This window comes from Homo sapiens, chromosome 12 (genome assembly GCF_000001405.40).
Source record: "Homo sapiens chromosome 12, GRCh38.p14 Primary Assembly".
Lineage (NCBI taxonomy): Eukaryota > Metazoa > Chordata > Mammalia > Primates > Hominidae > Homo > Homo sapiens.
In genome coordinates, this window is record NC_000012.12 from 63,630,893 (window position 1) to 63,648,806 (window position 17,914).

At 37.8% G+C, this 17,914-nt stretch overlaps 1 protein-coding gene across 25 annotated transcripts in view; it reads right to left on the bottom strand.

Annotated features, from left to right (window-relative positions):
• DPY19L2 (dpy-19 like 2) overlaps window positions 1-17,914 on the bottom strand; it is a 109,893-nt gene that overhangs the window by 71,980 nt on the left and 19,999 nt on the right. For 24 of the 25 annotated variants that reach the window (XM_047428722.1, XM_011538215.3, XM_024448947.2 and 21 more), the window contains 2 exons: window positions 16,353-16,473; window positions 13,511-13,604 (listed from right to left, as the gene is read on the bottom strand). In XM_047428722.1, the coding sequence (XP_047284678.1) occupies window positions 13,511-13,604; window positions 16,353-16,473 (215 nt within the window). Of the gene's footprint in view, window positions 1-13,510; window positions 13,605-16,352; window positions 16,474-17,914 lie in introns of those variants that run through there. The other variant, XM_047428728.1, reaches the window with a different exon arrangement.

The window sequence follows — 17,914 nt, forward strand, 5'->3', positions numbered from 1 at the left end:
AGAACTCAGGATTAATAAACTCACTCAAAACTGCTCAACAACATGGAAACTGAATAATCTGCTCCTGAATGACTACCGGGTACATAACAAAATGAAGGCAGGAATAAAGATGTTCTTTGAAACCAACGAGAACAAAGACACAACATATTAGAATCTCTGGGACACATTCAAAGCAGTGTGTAGAGGGAAATTTATAGCACTAAATGCCCACAAGAGAAAGCAGGACAGATCTAAAATTGACACCCTAACATCACAATTAAAAGAACTAGAGAAGCAAGAGCAAACACATTCAAAAGCTAGCAGAAAGCAAGAAATAACTAAGATCAGAGCAGAACTGAAGGAGATAGAGACACAAAAACCCCTTCAAAAAATCAATGAATCCAGGAGCTGGTTTTTGGGAAAGATCAACAAAACTGATACACCGCTAGCAAGACAAAGAAGAAAAGAGAGAAGAATCAAATAGACGCAATAAAAAATGATAAAGGGGATATCACCACCGATCACTCAGAAATACAAACTACCATCAGAGAATACTATAAACACCTCTATGCAAATAAACTAGAAAATCTAGAAGAAATGGATAAATTCCTGGAAATATACACCCTCCCAAGACTAAACCAGGAAGAATTTGAATCTCTGAATAGACCAATAACAGGCTCTGAAATTGAGGCAATAATCAATAGCCTACCAACCAAAAAAAGTCCAGGACCAGACAGAGTCACAGCCCAATTCTACTAGAGGTAAAAGAAGGAGCTGGTACCATTCCTTCTGAAACTATTCCAATCAATAGAAAAAGAGGGAATCCTCCCTAACTCATTTTAGGAGGCCAGCATCATCCTGATACCAAAGTCTGGCAGAGACACAACAAAAAAAGAGAATTTTAGACCAATATCCCTGAAGAACATTAATGCAAAATTCCTCAATAAAATATTGGCAAACCGAATCCAGCAGCACATCAAAAAGCTTATCTACCATGATCAAGTGGGCTTCATCCCTGGGATGCAAGGCTAGTTCAACATACGCAAATCAATAAACATAATCCAGCATATAAACAGAACCAACGTCAAAAACCATATGATTATCTCAATAGATGCAGAAAAGGCCTTTGACAAAATTCAACAACCCCTCATGCTAAAAACTCTCAATAAATTAGGTATTGATGGGACATATCTCAAAATAATAAGAGCTATCTATGACAAACCCACAGCCAATATCATACTGAATAGGCAAAACCTGGAAGCATTCCCTTTGAAAACTGGCACAAGACAGGGATGCCCTCTCTCACCACTCCTATACAACATATTGTTGGATGTTCTGGCCAGGGCAATCAGGCAGGAGAAGGAAATAAAAGGTATTCAATTAGGAAAAGAGGAAGTCAAATTGTCCCTGTTTGCAGATGACATGATTGTACATCTAGAAAACCCCACTGTCTCAACCCAAAATCTCCTTAAGCTGATAGGCAACTTCAGCAAAGTCTCAGGATACAAAATCAATGTGCAAAAATCACAACCATTCCTATACACCACTAATAGACAAACAGAGAGCCAAACCATGAGGCAACTCCCATTCACAATTGCTTCAAAGAGAATAAAGTACCTAGGAATCCAACTTACAAGGGATGTGAAGGACCTCTTCAAGGAGAACTACAAACCACTGCTCAATGAAATAAAATAGGATACAAACAAATGGAAGAAATTCCATGCTCATGGGTAGGAAGAATCAATATCGTGAAAATGGCCATACTGCCCAAGGTAATTTATAGATTCAATGGAATCCCCATCAAGCTACCAATGACTTTCTTCACAGAATTGGAAAAAACTACTTAAAAGTTCATATGGAACCAAAAAAGAGCCCGCATCGCCAAGACAATCCTAAGCAAAAAGAACAAAGCTGGAGACATCACACTACCTGACTTCAAACTATACTACAAGGCTACAGTAACCAAAACAGCATGGTACTGGTACCAAAACTGAGATATAGACCAATGGAACAGAACAGAGCCCTCAGAAATAATGCTGCATATCTACAACCATCTGATCTTTGACAAACTTGACAAAAACAAGCAATGGGGAAACGATTCCCTATTTAATAAATGATGCTCGGAAAACTGGCTAGCCATATGTAGAAAGCTGACACTGGATCCCTTCCTTACACCTTTTACAAAAATTAATTCAAGATTGATTAAAGACTTAAACGTTAGACCTAAAACCATAAAAACCCTAGAAGAAAACCTAGGCATTACCATTCAGGACATAGGCATGGGCAAGGACTTCATGACTAAAGCACCAAAAGCAATGGCAAGAAAAGCCGAAATTGACAAATGGGATCTAATTAAACTACACAGCTTCTGCACGCAAAAGAAACTACCATCAGAGTGAATAGGCAACCTACAGAATGGGAGAAATTTTTGCAATCTACTCATCTGACAAAGGGCTAATATCCAGAATCTACAATGAACTCAAACAAATTTACAAGAAAAAAACAAACAACCCCATCAAAAAGTGGGTGAAGGACATGAACAGACACTTCTCAAAAGAAGACATTTATGCAGCCAATAGACACACGAAAAAATGCTCATCATCACTGGCCATCAGAGAACTGCAAATGAAAACCACAATGAGATACCATCTCACACCAGTTAGAATGGCGATCATTAAAAAGTCAGGAAACAACAGGTGCTGGAGAGGATGTGGAGAAATAGGAACACTTTTACACTGTTGGTGGGACTGTAAACTAGCTCAACCATTGTGGAAGTCAGAGTGGTGATTCCTCAGGGATCTAGAAGTAGAAATACCGTTTGACCCAGCCATCCCATTACTGGGTATATACCCAAAGGATTATAAATCATGCTGCTGTAAAGACACATGCACACGTATGTTTATTGTGGCACTATTCACAATAGCAAAGACTTGGAACCAACCTAATGTCCAACAATGATAGACTGGATTAAGAAAATGTGGCACATATACACCATGGAATACTATGCAGCCATAAAAAATGATGAGTTCACATCCTTTGTAGGGACATGGATGAAGCTGGAAACCATCATTCTCAGCAAACTATCGCAAAGACAAAAAACCAAACACCGCATGTTCTCACTCATAGTTGGGAATTGAACAATGAGAACACATGGACACAGGAAGGGGAACATCACACACCGGGGCCTATTGTAGGGTGCGGGGAAGGGGGAGGGATAGCATTTGGAGATATACCTAATGTTAAATGATGAGTTACTGGGTGCAGCACACCAACATGGCACATGCATACATATGTAACTAACCTGCACGTTGTGCACATGTACCCTAAATTTTAAAGTATAATTAAAAATAATCAAAGTAAGATTTGACAACAGAAATAATAATGATGGCAGCTGTGAGGGGTAACAGGAGTACTAAATGATGGTAATAACATGTAAGATATGAAAGGATGGAGAGAGGTTCCAAGATGGCTGAATAGGAACAGCTCCAGTCTACAGCTCCCAGCACGAGCGACACAGAAGACGGGTGATTTCTGCATTTCCAACTGAAGTACTGGGTTCATCTCACTGGGGCTTGTCCAATAGTGGGTGCAGCCCACGGAGCAGGGTGGGGCATCACCTCACCCGGGAAGCACAAAGGGTTGGGGAATTCCCTTTCCTAGCCAAGGGAAGCCGTGATAGACAGTACCTGGAAAATCCGGACACTCCCACCCTAATACGGCACTTTTCCAACGGTCTTAGCAAACGGCACACCAGGAGATTACATCCCGCACATGGCTCAGAAGGTCCCATGCCCATGGAGCCTCACTCACTGCTAGCACAGCAGTCTGAGATCCAACTGCAAGGCGGCAGTGAGGCTGGTGGAGGGGCGTCCACCATTACTGAGGCTTGAGTAGGTAAACAAAGCAGCCAGGAAGCTCGAACAGGGTGGAGCCCACCGCAGCTCAAGGAGGCCTGCCTGCCTCTGTAGACTCCACCTCTGGGGGCAGGACGTTGCCAAACAAAAGGCAGCAGAATCCTCTGCAGACTTAAATGTCCCTGTCTGACAGCTTTGAAGAGACTAGTGGTTCTCCCAGCACGCAGCTGGAGATCTAACAACAGACAGACTGCCTGCTCAAGTGGGTCCCTGACCTCCGAGTAGCATAACTGGGAGGCACCCCCCAGTAGGGGCAGACTGACACCTCACACAGCCGGGTACTCCTCTGAGACAAAACTTCCAGAGGAATGATCAGGCAGCAACATTTGCTGTTCACCAATATCCACTGCTCTGCAGCATCCACTGCTGATACCAACGCAAACAGGGTCTGGAGTGGACCTCCAGCAAACTCCAACAGACCTGCAGCTGAGGGTCCTGACTGTTAGAAGGAAAACTAACAAACAGAAAGGACACCCACACCAAAATCCCATCTATACGTCACCATCATCAAAGACCAAAGGGAGATAAAACCACAAAGATGGGGAGAAACCAGAGAAAAAAAGCTGAAAATTCTAAAAACCGGAGTGCCTCTTCTCCTCCAAAGGAGCATAGCTCCTTGCCAGCAACAGAGCAAAGCTGGAAGGAGAATGACTTTGACAAGTTGAGAGAAGGTTTCAGACGATCGGTAACAACAAACTTCTCCAAGCTAAAGGAGGGTGTTCGAACCCATCGCAAAGAAGCTAAAAACCTTGAAAAAAGATCAGATGAATGGCTAAGTAGAATAAACAGTGTAGAGAAGACCTTAAATGACCTGATGGAGGTGAAAACCAAGGCATGAGAACTATGTGACGCATGCACAAGCTTCAGTAGCCGATTTGATCAAGTGGAAGAAAGGGTATCAGTGATGGACGATCAAATGAATGAAATGAAGCGAGAGGAGAAGTTTAGAGTAAAAAGAAATAAACAAAGCCTCCAAGAAATATGGCACTATATGAAAAGACCAAATCTACGGCTGATCGGTGTACCTGAAAGTGACAGGGAGAATGGAACCACATTGGAAAACACTCTTGAAGATATTATCCAGGAAAACTTGCCCAACCTAGCAAGGCAGGCCAACATTCAAATTCAGGAAATACAGAGAATGCCACAAAGATACTCCTCAAGAAGAGCAACCCCAAGACACATAATTGTCAGATTCACCAAAGTGGAAATGCAGGAAAAAATGTAAAGGGCAGCCAGAGAGAAAGGTTGGGTTACCCACAAAGGGAAGCCCATGAGACTAACAGCTGATCTCTTGGCAGAAACTCTACAAGCCAGAAGGGGGGGCGGCCAATATTCAACATTCTTAAAGAAAAGAATTTTCAACCCAGAATTTCATATCCAGCCAAACTAAGCTTCATAAGTGAAGGAGAAATAAAATCCTTTACAGACAAACAAATGCTGAGAGATTTTGTCACCACCAGGCCTGCCTTACAAGAGCTCCTGAAGGAAGCACTAAATATGGAAAGGAACAACCGATACCAGCCACTGCAAAAACATGCTAAATTGTAAAGACCATCGATGCTAGGAAGCAACTGCATCAACTAACGAGCAAAATAACCAGCTAACATCATAACAACAGGATCAAATTCACATAAAACAATATTAACTTTAAATGTAAATGGGCTAAATGCTCCAATTAAAAGACACAGACTGGCAAATTGGATCAAGATCAAGACCCATCATTGTGCTGTATTCGGGAAACCCATCTCATGTGCAGAGACACACATAGGCTCAAAAAAAAGGGATGGAGGAAGATCTACCAAGCAAACAGAAAACAAAACAAAACAAAACAAAAGGGGTTGCAATCCTAGTCTCTGATAAAACAGACTTTAAACCAACAAAGATAAAAAGAGACAAAGAAGGCCATTACATAATGGTAAAGGGATCAATTCAACAAGAAGAGCTAACTATCCTAAATATATATGCACCCAATACAGGAGCAGCCAGATTCATAAAGCAAGCCCTTAGAGACCTGCAAAGAGACTTAGACTCCCACACAATAATAATGGGAGACTTTAACACCACGCTGTCAACATTGGACAGATCAACGAGACAGAAAGTTAACAAGGATATCCAGGAATTGAACTCAACTCTGCACCAGGCGGACCTAATAGACATCTACAGAACTCTCCACCCAATATCAACAAAATATACATTCTTCTCAGCACCACATCGTACTTATTTCAAAATTGACCACATAGTTGAAAGTAAAGCACTCCTCAGCAAATGTAAAAGAACAGAAATTATAACAAACTGTCTCTCAGATCATAGGGCAATCAAACTAGAACTCAGGATTAAGAAACTCACTCAAAACCACACAACTACATGGAAATTGAATAACCTGCTCCTGAATGACTACTGGGTACATAACGAAATGAAAGCAGAAATAAAGATGTTCTTTGAAACCAATGAGAACAAAGATACAACATACCAGAATCTCTGGGACACATTTAAAGCAGTGTATAGAGGAAAATTTATAGCACTAAATGCCCACAAGAGAAAGCAGGAGAGATCTAAAATAGACACCCTAACATCACAATTAAAAGAAGGAGATAGAGACACAAAAAACTCTTTAAAAAATCAATGAATCCAGGAGCTGGTTTTTGGGAAAGATCAACAAAATTGATAGACCGCTAGCAAGACTAATAAAGAAGAAAAGAGAGAAGAATCAAATAGACACAATAAAAAATGATAAAGGGGATATCACCACCGATTACTCAGAAATACAAACTACCATCAGAGAATTCTATAAACACCTCTACTATAAACTAGAAAATCTAGAAGAAATGGATAAATTCCTGGAAATATACACCCTCCAAGACTAAACCAGGAAGAAGTTGAATCCCTGAATAGACCAATAACAGGCTCTGAAATTGAGGCAATAACTAATAGCCTACCAACCAAAAAAAGTCCAGGACCAGACAGATTCACAGCCCAATCCTACCAGAGGTACAAAGAGGAACTGGTACCATTCCTTCTGAAACTATTCCAATCAAAAGAAAAAGAGGGACTCCTCCCTAACTCATTTTAGGAGGCCAGCATCATCCTGATACCAAGGCCTGGCAGAGACACAACAAAAAAAGAGAATTTTAGACCAATATCCCTGATGAACATTGATACAAAAATCCTCAATAAAATATTGGCAAACCGAATCCAGCAGCACATCAAAAAGCTTATCCACCATGATCAAGTGGCCTTCATCCCTGGGATGCAAGGCTGGTTCAACATACGCAAATCAATAAATGTAATCCATCATATAAACAGAACCAAAGACAAAAACCACATGATTATCTCAATAGATGCAGAAAAGGCCTTCGACAAAATTCCATAGTCCTTCATGCTAAAAACTCTCAATAAACTAGGTATTGATGGGATGTATCTCAAAATAATAAGAGCTATCTATGACAAACCCACAGCCAATATCATACTGAATGGGCAAAAACCGGAAGCATTCCCTTTGAAAACCAGCACAAGACAGGGTTGCCCTCTCTCACCACTCCTTTTCAACATAGTGTTGGAAGTTCTGGCCAGGGCAATCAGGCAAGAGAAAGAAATAAAGTGTATTCAATCAGGAAAGAGGAAGTCAAATTGTCCCTGTTTGCAGATGACATGATTGTATATCTAGAAAACCCCATTGTCTCAACCCAAAATCTCCTTAAGCTGATAGGCAACTTCAGCAAAGTCTCAGGATACAAAATCAATGTGCAAAAATCACAACCATTCCTATACACCACTAATAGACAAACAGAGAGCCAAATCATGAGTGAACTCCCATTCACAATTGTTTCAAAGAGAATACCTAGGAATCCAACTCACAAGGGATGCGAAGGACCTCTTCAAGGAGAACCACAAACCACTGCTCAACGAAATCAAAGAGGACACAAACAAATGGAAAAGCATACCATGCTCCTGGATAGGAAGGATCAATATCGTGAAAATTGCCATACTGCCCAAGGTAATTTATAGATTCAATGCCATCCCCATCAAGCTACCAATGACTTTCTTCACAGAATTGGAAAAAACTACTTAAAAGTTCATATGGAACCAAAAAAGAGCCCGCATTGCCAAGACAATCCTAAGCAAAAAGTACAAAGCTGGAGACATCACGCTACCTGACTTCAAACTATACTACAAGGCTACAGTAACCAAAACAGCATGGTACTGGTACCAAAACTGAGATATAGATCAATGGAACAGAACAGAGCCCTCAGAAATAATGCTGCATATCTACAACCATCTGATCTTTGACAAACTTGACAAAAACAAGCAATGCGGAAAGGATTCCCTATTTAATAAATGGTGCTGGGAAAACTGGCTAGCCATATGTAGGAAGCTGAAACTGAATCCCTTTCTTACACCTTTTACGAAAATTAATTCAAGATGGATTAAAAACTTAAATGTTAGACCTAAAACCATAAAAACCCTAGAAGAAAACCTAGGCCATTCAGGACATAGGCATGGGCAAGGACTTCATGACTAAAACACCAAAAGAAATGGCAACAAAAGCCAAAATTGACAAATGGGATCTAATTAAACTACACAGTTTCTGCACAGCAAAAGAAACTACCATCAGAGTGAATAGGCAACCTACAGAATGGGAGAAAATTTTTCCAATCTACCCATCTGACAAAGGGCTAATATCCAGAATCTGCAAAGAACTTAAACAAATTTATAAGAAAAAAATCAAACAACCCCATCAAAAAGTGGATGAAGGATATGAACAGACACTTCTCAAAAGAAGACATTTATGCAGCCAACAGACATATGAAAAAATGCTCATCATCACTGGCCATCAGAGAACTGCAAATCAAAACCACAATGAGATACCATCTCACACCAGTTAGAATGGCAATCATTAAAAAGTCAGGAAACAACAGGTGCCGGAGAGGATGTGGAGAAATAGGAACACTTTTACACTGTTGGTGGGACTGTAAACTAGTTCAACCACTGTGGAAGACAGTGTGGCAATTCCTCAAAGATCTAGAACTAGAAATACCATTTGACCCAGCCATCCCATTACTGGGTATATACCCAAAGGATTATAAATCATGCTGCTATAAAGACACATGCACACATATGTTTATTGTGGCACTATTCACAATAGCAAAGACTTGGAACCAACCCAAATGTCCAACAATGATAGACTCGATTAAGAAAATGTGGCACATATACACCATGGAATACTATGCAGCCATAAAAAATGATGAGTTCACATCCTTGGTAGGGACATGGATGAAGCTGGAAACCATCATTCTGAGCAAACTGTCCCAAGGACAGAAAACCAAACACCACATGTTCTCACTCATAGGTGGGAATTGAACAATGAGAACACTTGGACGCAGTTTGGGGAACATCACACACCGGGGCCTGTCATGAGGTTGGGGGAAGAAGGAGGGATAGCATTAGGAGATATACCTAATGTAAATGACGAGTTATTGGGTGCAGCACACCAATATGGCACAAGTATACATATGTAACAAACCTGCACGTTGTGCACATGTACCCTAGAACTTAAAGTATAATAATAATAAAAAAAGATACGAGAGGATATTTTGAAGAAAAGCATTCCAAGATTCCTTGTTTGATTGGAAGAAGGGGAAAGATATCAATGTATTTTATACTTGAACAAATCATATCTGTATGTTAAAATTTTATGGTTAGCCACCAAAAGAATAGAAGCGGAATATCTACCTTCCCAGTTAGTGTCAGTGGGGAGGGTAGCCATGGTAACAAATACAAAAGTTTTCCCCAAATTTCTATTTCTTTTGTTCCTCAAATGCCAGTTTCCAATATCCTCACAGTTTTGATGACACCTCTACAGTCACTATTGGTTGACTCTGTATATCCTTCTTAAAGACTAGATAGAGCCTAATATTGTATTTTATATTCCAGGACTATATAACCAATTTAGAGAGACTAGCACCTCTTCGGTAGCCCTCCTAATGAAATATACTGATTTTTTAAATTTTAGTCATTGTTGTGTAACATTTTCCATATGAAAAAACAAAAAAGATAAGAAATACAAACCATTTTCAAAAATAGAACTTATTTATTCATTTATTTATTGATTTATTTTTAGTTTTGAGACTGAGTCTCGCTTTGTCGCCCAGGCTGGAGTGCAGTGGCGCAATGTCGGCTCACTGCAAGCTCTGCCTCCCAGGTTCACGCCATTCTCCTGCCTCAGCCTCCCGAGTAGCTGGGACTACAGGCGCCCGCCACCACGCCCGGCTAATTTTTTGTTGTTGTTGTTGTATTTTTAGTAGAGACAGGGCTTCACCTTGTTAGCCAGGTTGGTCTCGATCTCCTGACCTCATGATCTGCCCGCCTCGGCCTCCCAAAGTGCTGAGATTACAGGAGTGAGCCACTGCTCCCAGCCCAAAAACAGAACTTTTTTAAAAAAATAGAACATTTTTAAAGCTGCCCAAACAATCTCAAAGGAATCCTTTTCCCTCAAAATACTTTAATGAGCTTATATTTTTTCTATATGGCACATAGAAAAGTGCATAACATTTCTAGCTCATAGATCTATTGTAAAAGGAACGTCCATGTAGTCGCCATATAATTAACTGAAATAGAGAAATTATTATACTGAGTCTCCACTTGCCAGCCTCCAAGATAAGAATCAGCTACTGACCTGATTTTTGAGATTATCAACATAACCATTTCTATATACATATCAAACTATGATTTACTTTAATCTGTTTTTAAACAATACAAATGGAAGTATGGAGTATTTTTTTTAATTTTGTACCTGGATTCATTCATTCAAAATTATATTTGTAAGATTCAACCATGTTGTGTGTAGCTGTATAGTTCATTCATTCTCATTATTGTATACTGGTCCACCATGTTAATAAACCAAAATGTATTCATTTCTCTGTTAATGGATATTTGGGTTGTTTCCAGTTTGAAGCTATTGCAGATAATGCTACTATATTATTGTATGTACTTCCCAGTACACACATGCAAGACTTTTTTGGGAATATATACTTTAAATTAGAATTACTGAGTTACAAGGTATCTATATCTTGAATGTTATCAGATAATGTACACTGTTTACCAAAATAGTTGTACCAATTTATATGTCCACCTGTGGTGGATGAAAGCTCCTTTATCAATCTATTAGATGTGAGTTGGTATTTCACTGTGGTTTGAATTTGTATTTTCTTTATGACTAATGATGGTGGACAACTTTACATATGTTTATTGACCATTTGGTGTTCTTCTGGGAAATATCAGTTCATAAACAATTTGTCCATTTTTCTATCAGGTTGTCTTTCTTCTTTATCTTCCCACTCTAATATAAACTTCACAAGGACAGAGATCTCTGTCCTGTATTCCAAGCACCTAGAACAGTGCTCCTGGTCACAACAGTCTTTCAATAAATATTTATCAAATTAATGAATGAAATTTCTGGATAGTAGGTGGGGTATATACTTTGTAAATATCTTCACTCACTTTGTGGTTTATTTTTTATCCTACAATTCTTTTGAGGAACTGAAGTTCTTTTCATCAAATTTATTAGTTTTTCTTCATGACTGGATTTTTTTATCTTGTTTATGAAATCACTTCTTATTCCAAGTGACTTTTTCTATATTATACGCTGAACATTTTATAAATTTGTCTTTCATATTTGAGTGTTTAATCCAACTTGGATGTATTACTTATATAGTTCCAGTATCTCCTTGCTCCATATGATCTCCCAATTATTCCAGCACTATTTATTAAAATGCCTGTCCTTACTCACCAATCTGCGATACCCACTCTTCCATATATCAAATGCCTTTAAATGTACATTTCTGCTTCTGGGCTCTACTCTATTGCAGTTATCTATTTGTCTATTGCTGTGCCAATATCATAGTGTCTTTTTACATTAGCTTCATAATACAGCAACAATTGATAGTGCAAATCCTCCTTTTTCAAGAATACCTTGACTGTATTTGGCCCTTTGCATTTTTGAATAACTTTTAAATCAGCTCATCAAAGTCAACAAAAAATATGTTGGAATTTTGACTGGTAGAGCATTGAATCTATAAAGCTTTTTAATATCAAGTCTTCAATCAATGAACGTGGAATATCTCTCCACTTAGATTTTCCTAGACATATCTCAGGAATGTTTTAATCATTTTCCCATAGCTGTCATATGTATCTTTTGTTGGATTTATTCTGAGGAATATCATGCTTTTAATGCTATTCCAAATAGCATCCTTTCAAAATTTCATTTTCTATTTGATGCTAAAGTATAAAATTTATAATTTTGAGTTTAAATATTAATGCTTACATCTAGTAACATTGTAAATTTTCTTATTATTGCAAATACTGTATCCATAAACTTTTAAAATTTTTCTAGATACATGATGTAATCTACTTTTAAGAACACTTATTTCTTTTTTTTCAAGTTTTCCAATCCTTATACTTATTACTACTTTTCTTTTTATGTACCGTGCTGGATAGTATTCCTGGCACAACACTGACTATGTCACTAGTTTTCATTGATTCTATGCTAGTCTTTTTTATGCTGAGAACTTCCTAAAACAAAGAGTGTGTATATTTACTAATCTCTATATTGACATAAGCCCCATGAAAACTCAATAAATATTTGTTGAAAGACTAAAGCTATCAATTAATTTTAATTTTAATTTTAAATGTTTTGCATGACAAGAATAACATTGTAAAGAAACCTGATGATTCAGCTAGGAATGCGCTCCACTGAAAGAAACAGAAAACCTAACAAAAGTGGCTTACACAATATGGATGTTGTTTATTGTATCATTCAACAAGAAAATGAAAGATAAGCATCTGTTGGCATTGGTTCAGCAGCAGAAGGATGGTAGGCCAGATATATCTGCTATTTTTATGACCTTTCCCTTATGGTCACAAGATGACTGCTACAGCTCTGGGCATGACATCCTAGTGTAATAAAAGCAGGAAGAAACAGAGAAGGGGCAGCTAAGTCTGTCCTTTTGTGAGAAAGGCAGATACTTTACTGGATGTAACCAAAACTGACTCAACTTAGTTTTCATTGGCAAAAACTAGCTGATATGGCTATCTCAGGGAGCAATTAAGTGTGGGGGCAAAACACACGACCGTTGAAATTAATTTCAACTTATCACCTGAGACTGGTCTCGCTGCTGCTTCATCGTGGTACTCTTATCAAGATAGACATGCTAGCAGATGTAAGTGCCTGCCACATGTGATTCACAATTTTTCCTACTGCTTTCTTAATTTCATCCTTAGAGAATACAATTAGAAATAAGCTGCTACTACTGCTAACCAAAGATCTCCTCCAATGTTTTATTAATTTTACACATGAACTAGGAGATATTCCATTAAAGCCTTTGTTAGGAAATCTGTTTAAACAACAGAATAAAAGGGATGACTTTGAGATAGAATTTTAGTGACATCTCCAGTTTCTGGTTACATGATATTGGTTAAGCTTCTGAAAAATCAAGTAAATCCACAAACTTTCCTGATATGAATCTAATCTCATTAATTTTCCTTTTCATTTAATCAACAAATATCAGCCAGTCTGTAAAAGCCCACTGAAAGGTCTCTTAATTCAGTAGTAGTCTTACCTCAGGTATGCTCCATACATGAAGAACAATCCCATCATTAGTCCATTTAAAATAAAGATTACACCAACATAAAAGCAAGCAGGATCTCCCAATCCTTTGAAAAGATACAGATAATCAGTGTTTAATGAATATATGACTCTAAGGCAATTGGGCATAATTATCTCAGTGCTTTGCAATCAAGAGCTCATGAATTTGCTGAAAGCATTTGCTTTCCAGATTGCTGCTGTGTTTAATTATTTACCCTTATAAGAGTTTGTGTGTGTGTGTGCTTGCAGACACATATATATGTATGTGTGTATATATATGTGTGTGTATATATACACATACACGTATGTAAGCTCACCCTTAATGAGTGATTATATAGTTACACTTATACTTTATACTTTTTATAATTGCATTTATACTTTCCTCCAATGAATTACTATTATACTGTAATGATTTGTTGGGGATTCACATTTATTTAGGTGATGCTGCTAGTGTTCAGTGTCTGGAACTGTCTGTAGAACCACTTAATGAATACAAAAGAAAATCCATTACATTATTTTTATCTTTTGCTAGGTTCTAGGAAGAGTTAAGATATGGTTTTGACTTTAGGGTACAGCTTTAGTCTATATGAAATGATCCAGTCATTTGATCCATTATTATGTATAGCTAGAATCTTAGTATATTCCATATAGAAGATCATGTGTGTGTGTGTGTGTGGCAATATGTACTTAACAATCATCCCACACTTTTCTCAGAACAAGTTTATGATATTAGCTGGTATAAACATACTTTTCTTATGGTTGAGAAAACAGAACATAAGATATTCAACTTGTCAAAGGTTATTTCACTTTAACTGGCTGGAGCCAAGGTCTGAAGGCTGGCCTTCTGATTCCCCCTGCCTCTCTGATCGCTCGTTTCAGTCAGTTCTAGTAACTTCTCTTGTTTTATGTACCACTCTTTAATATTGGACCACCTTAGGCTCTGTCATATCCCCCCTTCATTTCTCCATCTGCATATTCTCCATAAGGAAATTCTTCCACATCCACAGCTCCAATGATCTATATACAGATGACTCCAACTCTACATTTAATCCAGAACTTTCTCCTTATTCTTATAGCCAGATAGCCACTTGATGTCCCCACTCTGAGGTCTCTCAAGTACCTCAAATTCATGCATACACAATGAAACATAACAATACAAACCTGCTGCTGTTCAAATGTTTCCTATCACTCAAAGGAGCTCAGTTACTTAAGCTAGAAACCAAACTATGTTTCACATGATTCTTCACTCACCTTCTCCTCTCTTACCAAACAATTACCAAGTCTTGTCCATTCTGCTTCCAAATTCTCTCTCATACCCAGGCATTTCCACATTATCTTTCCTGCAATCACTTGTTGAGAATATAATTGTCTCCTACCTGGCCTCCCTTAACCTACTTTTGTTCCTTTACTAATATTTTTTCCATACCATTGACTAAATAATGTTTTAAAATGGAACTCTGTTAAAATTCTTCAATGGATAAAGTATAAAATCCTTCACCAGTGCACCCCTTTCATGATCTGATCCTTGCTTATATTCCCAGCACCATTTCACATCATTTTTCTTCTCCATCGCTTCTAGGATTTCTAGCCTTCTTTCAGTTCTCTCTTGTTTCAGGGTATTTGAATATATTATTCCCTATTCTTAAAATACTTATCCTCTCTTACTCCTAGTGTCAGTAACCTTATTTTCTTATTTGTAATATCCATCACAGTTGTAACTGCTAACAGCCCCCTTACAGCATAAGCTCTATGAGGGTAAGGCCCCACGTCTAGCTGGTTCATCTCTGTGTCCCAAGTGCCAAACACTAACTTATCACTTATTGGGAATGTAACTAATACCATACTTAGGTGATCATTTTCACCACTCAGACAGGGTCACACCTTCCAGCTGATTGAATCATTGCAAAGTCTTTCATTTTATGAGGCATTTTCTCCAATCCTTTACATTGTACACAAAAAAGTATAATTGCCCCTCAAACATCCTCATCAATTCTATTTTTACTGAGGGAATCAGTAAAAAATGTAAGGAAAATAGATTTAGTTTATATCCCAAGAGTTGAATGTTGTTACAAACAAGTCTAAAAATTTATTCATAAAATATAGTAAGTCATGTTGTTAAGAATTTGAAGAAATAAAGAAAAAACTACAGTGTTAGTGTTATGAAAACAGATACAAGTGGCTCTGAATGAGAGTCTCAAGGGACGGCACCATACTTGAATTGTAAAAGTGCTGAAATGCAAACATCTTAAATGGAAGTGACCACTATGTATCCTGGAAAGCTGTTAGATGATTCCAAAAGTGGTTCTTTGACAAAGAAACCAATGTAGAAGATAAATAGGAAGAGTTTTATTAATAGTACTCATGGACTATGAGCATATATAAAAAAGTAATATTTCTAAATCAATCTATTATGGCATATCCAATTTTTAAATATGTATGCATAATTAAATTTATACATTAGCTATTACAAATAGATATTTGACTATTTAATGTATCCTCAAAATTTATATATTGCAGCTACCCCAAAAAACATCTTTCTGTATCTTCTCATTCTGAAATAGAAGACTAACTTATAGTCAAGATTGCCTTACAATGGGATATGTTAATACTCAAATTCCAAAATTTATACTCAAATTTTTAAGTACACAGCCTTCTCAGAAAACTATTTTAAAATGTAAAATACTCATTGATGTGAGTCAGTTCTAATGTTTTTTAAATCAACAACAGAATTTTACAATAATTCTTAAAAGTGAATCATAATATTATTAAATGTTTATGAATGTTTACAAATGACAGCATTTTTGGAAGAAACATGCCTTCACAGCTTTGAACTTCATTAAGAGGTTCTATTCTGGTGACATTCCAGCAGGTCTTAGTTTCTAGTCCAAATAAATTCATTATTCCCATGAATGTGCAATACCAGGAGGCTATGATTACCTTAAAAAAGATAAAAACAAAGAGATAATTGAGGTAAATACATTCTCTTCATAATAATAATAATAATAATATATACCATGGAATACTATGCAGCCATAAAAAAGGATGAGTTCATGTCCTTTATAGTGACATGGATGAAGCTGGAAACCATCATTCTTGGCAAACTATCGCAAGGACATAAAAACAAACACTGCGTGTTTTGATATTAAAAAGCTTTATAGATTCAATGCTCTACCAGTCAAAATTCCAACACATTTTTTGTTGACTTTGATGAGCTGATTTAAAAGTTATTCAGAAATGCAAAGGGCCAAATACAGTCAAGGTATTCTTGAAAAAGGAGGATTTGCACTATCAATTGTTGCTGTATTATGAAGCTAATGTAAAAAGACACTATGATATTGGCACAGCAATAGACAAATAGATAACTGCAATAGAGTAGAGCCCAGAAGCAGAAATGTACATTTAGAAATGTACCATAACTTATATGGTTATGAGTTCCGTGGGCTCTCTTTGTGCCTCATTTTCTGAGATTTGGAGTTAAAGAGGCTGGCAATCCAGAAATGCCAATGGGCACTGCTATAGTTTGAATGTGTCCCATCCAAAATTCAGGTATTGAAACTTAATGGCCAATGTGATAGTATTAAGAGATGGGACCTGCAAGAGGTGATTAGACCATGAAGACTCCCCCCTCATGAGTGAGATTAAAGCTATCTTACTCTCCTACTGTCTGCCGTGTGAGGACACAGTGTTCCTCTCCTTCAGAAGATGCAACATCAAGGCACCATCTTGGAAGCAGAGAGCAGCCTTCACCAGACACCAAATCTGCTGGCGCCTTGATCTTGGACTTCCTTGGACTCCAGAATTCTTAGACTCCAGAATTGTGAGATATAAATTTCTATTCTTTATAAATTACCTAGTCTCAGATACTTTGTTCAAACAGCACAAAACAGACTAAGACAAATATACAAAAAGTACCCAAAAAGTCAAAAGTAAAAAAAATGTGGCTCTACCCATACCGTATAAACAAAGGCCAAGTGGGGAAGCTAGACTTCCACCTTCCCTGGGCTTTTTTTTTTTTGAGACAGAGTCTCGCTCTTTTCACTCAGGCTGGAGTGCAGTGGCATGATCTCGGCTCACTGCAACCTCTTCCTCCTGGGTTCAAGCCAAGTCTCCTGCCTCAGCCTCCCAAGTAGCTGGGATTACAAGTGCCCACCACCATGCCTGGCTAATTTTTATATATTTAGTAGAGACAGCGTTTCACCATGTTGGCCAGGCTGGTCTCAAACTCCTGACCTCAGATGATCCTGAAAGCAACAAGATGGTGCCTTCCCCCTTTTCCCCTTCCTTTGCTTGAGTGATACCAGAGGTATCTAGTTAAAATAGCAGGTTTAAATAAAATCCGGTCTCATAACATAATACTCAAAATATCTAGGTTTCAAGT